The sequence below is a fragment of the Homo sapiens genome, chromosome 9 (assembly GCF_000001405.40).
Source record: "Homo sapiens chromosome 9, GRCh38.p14 Primary Assembly".
Lineage (NCBI taxonomy): Eukaryota > Metazoa > Chordata > Mammalia > Primates > Hominidae > Homo > Homo sapiens.
Window position 1 is genome coordinate 90,996,557 of NC_000009.12, and position 7,976 is coordinate 91,004,532.

General features: G+C 42.0%; 1 long non-coding RNA gene across 4 annotated transcripts, besides 2 other annotated features; it reads left to right on the forward strand.

Moving 5' to 3' along the window:
- The first annotated feature begins 481 nt into the window (after nucleotides 1-481).
- LINC02957 (long intergenic non-protein coding RNA 2957) lies at nucleotides 482-5,345 on the forward strand. 4 transcript variants are annotated; one of them, NR_184136.1, is made up of 4 exons: nucleotides 482-564; nucleotides 1,040-1,261; nucleotides 4,214-4,284; nucleotides 4,929-5,345. It is a non-coding gene; the product is annotated as a long intergenic non-protein coding RNA 2957 (long non-coding RNA). The 4 variants fall into 4 exon arrangements; NR_184137.1 differs by having other exon boundaries at nucleotides 4,963-5,345; NR_184138.1 differs by having other exon boundaries at nucleotides 1,090-1,261; nucleotides 4,914-5,345.
- Nucleotides 3,814-5,013: an enhancer, noted in NCBI's record as "BRD4-independent group 4 enhancer chr9:93762652-93763851 (GRCh37/hg19 assembly coordinates)". NCBI's record gives its function as "activates an origin of replication core promoter dependent on BRD2, P300/CBP, MED14 and CDK7 cofactors, and independent of BRD4, by STARR-seq in HCT116 cells {active_cell/tissue: HCT116}" and the evidence as "EXISTENCE:reporter gene assay evidence [ECO:0000049][PMID:35650434]".
- Nucleotides 6,262-6,819: an enhancer, noted in NCBI's record as "NANOG hESC enhancer chr9:93765100-93765657 (GRCh37/hg19 assembly coordinates)". NCBI's record gives its function as "activates a minimal SCP1, AML or CMV promoter by ChIP-STARR-seq in naive H9 embryonic stem cells {active_cell/tissue: H9 hESC(naive)}" and the evidence as "EXISTENCE:reporter gene assay evidence [ECO:0000049][PMID:30033119]".

The following is a 7,976-nucleotide window of genomic DNA, read 5'->3' on the forward strand; positions in this document are numbered from 1 at the left end:
TGGAAACACAAAGATCACGTGATATTGCAAAAGCATCGCACCTGTAGGAATCCACATTGCACAACATCAGGGAAGTGGCTTTGAGAGCAACAACAAAATGAAATAGTAGAGTTATCAGCTGTCTGAAATATGGCCAAAAATTACTTGCAGTGGGTTGAAGATGAAAACTACCACTGAATGCAGCAGAATTTTTATTTTAAACCAGTGAGAAGGCACCAAAATAGGCCAATGCCCATTCTTGTATGGAAATATTTCATTCCATAAATGACAGGCCTTTCCATCCACCCCTATATGGTTTGGCTGTGTCCCCACTCAAATATCATCTTGAACTGTAGCTCCCACAATTCCCATGTGTTGTGGGAGGAACTCAGTGGGAGATAATTGAATCATGGGGGTGGTTTTCCCCATACTGTTCTCGTGGTAGTGAATAAGTCTCAGGAGATCTGGTGGTTTTATAAGGGGAAACCTCTTTCACTTGGATCTCATTCTGCCTTGCCTGCCACCATGTAAGATGTCCCTTGCTCTTCCACCATGATTGTGAGGCCTCTCCAGCCATGTGAAACTGTGAGTCCATTAAACTTCTTTCCTTTATAAATTACTAAGTCTTGGGTATATTTTTATTAGCAGCATGAAAACAGACTAATACACACCCCTTCTCCAAAACCACATCCACCCTCCAAACTGCATGTGTTTGTCAAGGTAAATGGTGTGTGTGTGTATGTATGTGTGTATATATATATATATACATATACGTATATATATATATACGTATATATATATATATATATATATACCTACATGCATATATATATATACATATATATTTATTGACTGAGAATTTAAGGTGTCTCAAACTATGGCAGAATTTTAATAAAGTTTATTATTTATTTTGTAATGAATTAATTACAAAATTATATAGCAGGTCCTGGAATAACATCATTTTATTTCAAAGTCATTTTGTTATAATGTTGAAGAGAAAAAAAAATGAATTCCCCCTGGTGGGGCCACCATCTGTGTGAACTTTGCACATTCTCTCTAGGTCTGTGTAGGTTTTTTCTGGCTACTCCTGTTTCCTCCCACATCCCAAAGGTGTGCCTATGAGGTGAACTGCCATGTCTACACATCCCAGTATGAGTGAGTGCAGGTGGTGTGCACGCGCCCTGCGATGGGAGTGTGTCCTATTCAGGGCTGGTTCCCGCCTTGCGCCCTAAGCTTTGGAGATAGGCTTCGGCCACCCTCAACCCTGAACTGGAATAAGCAGGTAAACAATTCTCTTACTTGTTTTTATTAATTTGTCTTAAATGTGTTATAGCTTTTATTTTAATGTTTAATATTACATTTATTTTATTGTTTTAATGTTTAATATTACAAGTGTTTGGGTCTTCATTTAGAAGTTTGGTGATGTTTTTGCTATCAGAAATATGCTACAGGAACTTAACTCTTGTGGATATCAATTAGCCTATAGGGAAATTGGTTTCTTTCTATGCAGTTTTGCTTACAGTCACTGTTTCCAAGAGCCTATGAACGTCATGAAAAACTTACTGTATAGGTGTTGGGTATTCTGTCACTAACCTCATTTCCCCACAAGCTCTGTTATTTTTATTATGCAAAATTCCATAGCAAGTGATTTTAGGAACACATTGCAGAAGAAATGACCATATATTGAATTTCATGTTATTTTATGAAGAATTATTTTCCTTTTGCTTCTCTATATTACTGTTAGGTATATGAATAATATATATGTTATATATGAACATATAGTCATACAAATGTATGTCACATATCTAGATCTGTTGTATTGTCCAGCAATTTCATAACTGGCTAGTAAAGGGGACCGTAAAAGACACATTTTTAAAGGAGGAAATTGGAAATAGAGCTGAGGAACCTCCACTCGGTGATTCCTGAGGTTACTGTACGTGGCAGCTAAACCACTCGGCTGGGATACAAGAGGTCCTGTATCGGTTATCTATGGCAGCCTAACAAATTCCCCTCACATTTAGCAGCTTAAAATAATGACTTTTTATCACCTGTCATAGTTCCTGTGGGTCAGGAATTCAGGCAGGGTGGCTTGTCGCCGCCTCATGGCGTCTGGAGTCTCCGCTGAGCCACTCGAAGCAGTAGCAGGGACCATCTGCAGGCACATAAACTGGAGAATCTAATCACCAAATGAAAAACAAAACAAACAAACTGGTGGGTGTGGCAGTCCACACAGGCTTCCGGTTTTTGGCTGGAACACCCACACATGACCTCTCCCTGCAGGCTGGGCTTCCTCACAATGAGGTGGCTGGAAGCCAAGGAAAAGCACCCAAGAAAGCCAGGTAGAAGCCATATTGCCTTTTACGGCCTAGCTTGGAAATCCCACAGCATCACTTTCCCTGTATTCTATTGGTCCAGGCAGTAATAGGGGTGTCCCCAGGTGTGAGGGTGAGACTCCCTCACACCTCTCAGTGGGGGCTAGCATTGCACTGTAGGAAGAGTCATGGGATGGAGTATATATTAGTGTGACCATCTTTGCAAATACAACGTGCTCTAGCCCCCAAGCAAGGGCTTTGGGTAAAACAACGGGTAGAAAGATGAAAAAGATGATATAGGTAAACTTAGAAAGAAACAAAACAAAACAGAACTTTGTAAGGGGATGCATAGAACTAAAGCAAGAGCAAAGCTGAATACTTCTGGAATATCATAGTGAATCGAAATCCCCTAGAATCTGTGATAAACACACACTGTTTATCTTGGAAGAAAAGAGTTTCGGGAATTTCTTTAAAAGTAACATTATGTATATTGCCTCACATGTGGACTTTATGCAAAACTCTCACTTGGCAATTTAGTTTTGGTGTGTTTCAGAAATAATCTCATTTGCTTTCATATCATGTAGAAAGAATGAAAGAAAAGCCAGTTTGTTTAGTCAGTAACTCTTGCTTTGGACTCAGAGGCCTGGGGGAAAAGAGAGTATGTATGTGCATATGTGTGTGTGTGTGAATGTGTGTGTGTATGAGTGCGTGTGTGTGGGTGCATGCAGAACAAAAGCAAATGCAATAAAATGAGAAGAGATGTGTGTCATTGTCCAGTTGCTTGCTTGTAATGTGAATAGCTTATGTTACTGGAGGGACTGATGCCAGGAGCAACGAAGCCAATTGCTTCCCATCCCATGATGGGATGGGAAAACACTGGCCACTTCAGTCCATGCCACTGTGTGGCACCCTACTTTTCCTTGGGTACTGAAACTTGGTGCCTGGAGTTTCATAGAAAACTTGAGGTATTCTAACCACAAAAGTAAAACATGCTTCTGCCTGCAGTGCCCAGTGGAATAGTATAGCCCGGGCAGGCCACCCGAGAGACCAACAGCCACACTGCGCATCCTACCCGAAGCCAGTAGGAAATGTTAGCCTTTGGAGCTCACTCAACACACAGTAGGCCTGTGATAAACCTTTGTGAATAGTGCATCAAGTTCCTAGCTGTCTTCCCTGAGCGGCAGAAACACAGGGCTGAAACACGTCCAGCCAGCCTGGGCCCACGTCTGCCAACAAGCCTAGGCGTGTGACGCTCGTAACAATTCTGCATTTTCTACACGGCACAATTACCATCAGTGCCAGAGTATGATAGAGAAGCCAAACAACTGCATTTGCAGATACCCTGAACTAACAAAACTTCATCCTCAAAACAGCTCGGTTCCTGTTTGCAATCATGAGTTTGCATAATCTGTTACCTGGAAGCAATACGAATTGCACAGCAGCTCTGGGAAATGAGCCGGGTAATTACATCTTCAGGAGCTGAGGACAAGATGTGACATTTTACCTACAGGGCACCAAACAAAGTCAACATGTTTAATTTTTATTCTGCTCCCACTGTCCTTCTGGCCTTTTGTTTGAAACTATCTTATGAAAATACAGCATTCAAACAGCCAGAAAGCCCTCAGAGAGACCACAAGAGAAATGATAACGAATTGTTTGTGAACAGCCCCATGGCCAGATTAGTTTTTATAAGATACAGCTTTTTCTACTACCCATCTTTGGCTCCCTCCATTATTTTTCAGCTTCCTGGGGTCCCATTTTCTGTTTGTTAGGGAAAGGTTTTTGTTTCATAGCTCTAATTGTGTGTAATGTCAAATAAATCCCAGAGGAGAGAACCACCATGTTGCCATCATCGTGTATAAATCGCGGGCCCACCATGAAAACCGTTTGGAAGTCTTACTCCCATTTTTTCGTCTTTCTAGAAAACCACATCTGGTCAGGAGCCCAGTGTGTCCCACTTGGACAAGAATAGAAATCTCTCTTCTGGAATATGGTAAACACAGATTTTGTTTCCAAGTTAACACATAATGTAGTTCTATCATGTTTACAGACAGTAAGTTCTCAATATCATATTAAATATAGATTCTGTGCCAAAAGAATAGGGATCAACCTGTCATCTCTATTTCCAGGAATTAGTCTTTTTTATTCCTCTAGTGGAAACCTTTGAGGAATTTGCTCATTTTCCCCCTAAAGCTGTGAAGAAAAGTTAAAGGTCAAATGGGAGAATAGAATGAAAGAAGAAGAAAACAGAAACTCAAAGAAACCTAGACTCTTGAATTTGAACTCATTTTTTTGCAAAATAATTGAATGAGTCAGTCCGAAATCATCAGAGGGCTCTCCACCTATTTCTCAATGAACTGAGAAGCATGGAGGATTCAGGGTGGGGCTAGGGAGGTGGAAACCCATGCTTTGATTCAGGGAGAGGTAATGCTTCTAAGCTTCATTAGGAACTGAATAATGGCAAGGTGCCCAGGGAGCATGCCTGGATTCTGGCTCCTTGCCCAACCCTCACCCTGCCCCAGGGCAAACTCAGAAAACCAAGTCAGATCATCATAATGACGTGCATGGCTGCTGTTACCTGAGACAGAAGCCATGATGTCATCTTGTCATAATTGACTTCAGGTTTGTCACTCTCAGATCTTCTCTGGTTGGAGCCAATGGTTTCTTTCAGACCTGAGATATCCTGATGAAGCAGACCACACCTGCCCTCAGAGATGACCTCATGAGGAAGCTGAGCTGCATAACAAACATCTCTGCTGCTCAGCCACCTCCACTCTTTTTCAACAGACCTTGGAGATAGCACAGCACCCACACCAAAAAATCAGGAAGCTCTCTTATCAGCAATCTTTCTGTACCTATGAAATCAGACATTCCAGCCATGGCAGAACCTCCTGAGTGGGCCAGAGCCTCAGAGTCAGGAAAAGCTGGGGCCTAATGATGTTTCAAATCAAATCACTCTGTAGGGGATTTTCCATTTAACATATTGTGATTGTGCAGTAACATTAGTCTTTGCCATTTAATTTATTAAATTTTAAAATCTTATAATATCCTCAACACCGTCTTTGTCTCGATTTATACATATAACATATACATTTTTATTACATATTACAAACAATTGATATATATGAAGAACTCTGTGTGTTTAAATGCCAATCACTGGTACACAGGCTCGAGGAATGTAATATCCAGGATTCAGTCTAGGAAACCAAAGTAATTCTAGGTACTTGATTGAAGAAGGTTTAATATTTGGAATTTAATGTTTTAAAAATTATTGAAGAGGCTGGGCACGGTGGCTCACACCTGTAATCCCAGCACTTTGGGAGGCTGAGGCTGCCAGGTCATGAGGTCAAGAGATCGAGATCTTCCTGGCCAACACAATGAAACCCCATCTCTACTAAAAATACAAAACTTAGCTAGGCATGGTGGTGCACACCTGTAGCCCCAGCTACTCGGGAGGCCGAGGCAGGAGAATCACTCGAACCCAGGAGACAGAGGTTGCAGTGAGCCAAGATCGTGCCACTGCATTTCCAGCCTGGGCGACAGAGCAAGACTCCATCCCAAAAAAAAAAAAAAAAATTATTGAAGAAGCAGGTTTTAGGCTGTGACTCTTCAAATGACCCTCAGAACAATGAGAACCGGCCAGTGGGGGAATTATTGCCTCTGAGGTCAACACTGGAGCCAGGCAGTCTAGGTTGGAAGCTCTAGGGACTAACACCCAAAACATCGAGATGTGACTGTCCCTGAGACTCAGGAAATCAAAGATAAACACTGGAAAAACTTAGAAGAAATCCATGACTCTCCTGAACCCACAGTGAAAGACAGAAGCTGTAGGGAGGCCCAGCTTCAGCCCTGGCTCACCTCTTGCTCCACATCAGGGGCCAGCAAACATGCACTAGAAAGGGCCAGAGAGTCCAGATTTGTGGCTTTGTGGGCCATAGACTCTCTGTCACAGCCACTCCACTCTGCCATTACAGTGTTGAAACAGCCAAAGTAATAAGTAAATGAATGAGTATTCTGTGCACCTGTTTACAAAAATAGACTTGGTCCCTGGGCCATAGTTAGCCAATCTTCACTCTAGTGAATCTAAATGACACTAATTGACCTCCAGAATCCTAGCTGCAAAGGAGTCTTGAAAATGTATTTTTTAGTTTTCTAATTAAATGCTCCTGAGACCATGAAGGAGTACCACATTCCTGTCTGATGAAAGCACATCCCTCCTGCTGCTTTCTATTTATTTGAATGTAGAGAAAGCGTTAGCCAATACAAAAGGTGCATACCAGGAGACAAGGGCTGTGTTGATTTGCTCCACCAAAAAAGCTACCTCTTGAAGAATGGCTACAGTTGTAGTCATATATTATTACACGTATGACAATTTATTGTCATTCTCCAAGAATCGCCTGTCCTCTGCATGAAGAGGACACGAGAGTCGCCTCCCCTGCATCTTGCAAGTTTCTGATGGTGCACCATCTTTGAAATTCACCAGATATGCTTGTTGATTTTGGTTTTATAGGGAAAGGTAGTTCCAGGGGTTTCCATGTGACCATTTCTACCAGAGGGACCCTAGCCCCACCCTCCACATTGATAAGGACATCAGTGTAGAGATTTGAGCAGTTGTCGAGTATTTCTATCTCAACTTTACATTCAGGAGCTAGAAAAATAACCACAAGATGGGCTCCCAGAGCCACTGGCCTACTGTGAAATAGACTTCGGCCAAAATTCTATTTCTCCCCTGACCATCTCACCTCCCACATCAATCTCCAATCTGGTTTGGATTCGTATCAGCCCAGAGCCTGTGCCTATGTATCCCTGAAAATCTGAGTTTCTCCCTTTCCCCTGTGCATGGCCACCCTAGTTAATGGCTTCAGGTAATTTCTTGGATGGTAGGAGGAAGATAGAGTATGCTCTTGTGGCAGTTTCTCTAGGGTCTGGGCTCAAGGGGAACAAACCACCTCTTCTCTCAGGGACTTTCCATAGTGTGTGCTCACTCAGATTCAGGAGTGTTAACTCAAGTGCTTTTCAGTTTATAGATCAGATAGGTTGTCTGTTGATTTCATGGACACCGTGACCCCACCCTGGAAACCTTTGGGCCCAACCATCCTGACCCACCACCATTGGCCCTGATGCTGGTCATGGTGGTCACTCTCATCTTGTCACTGACAGCAGAGTTAATTCTTCTGGAGTTAAGGCTTGTGAAGGAAAGTTAGAGGTCCAGGCCACCATCAGATGAATCCATCACTCAACTGACTATGACAGGAATATAAAGCTAGCTTTTACTTTTTTAATTTGTTAAATAAAAGAACTATGATTGTATTTAACACAGACTTCATGCTTGATTTCTTCTCCTATTTACATATGACTGATATCTATGAAAAACTGTGTTTTTGTTGTATTTCAGTGCTTATGGCAAACTCAAAATTTGGAATTTAAGTTGGCACTATTTGGGGTTTTGTCTCTTTGCTGGGACAGATGACAAAGCCAGCGGTAAATAGGCCTTATGAGGCATTTTCTGTCAACAGCCAGAACCAGAGTCCCTTGAAGAATCACAAATCTATTTAGCTGAAGATTTATGGTATCCTATCATGGAACCATTGTGATTTCCAACTCTGAGAAAGGCTGTAAGTCTCTGTGATTTGGAATGATTTATCTGCCACAGCCAGATTCCATAAGGCTCAATTCTGAAGAAGT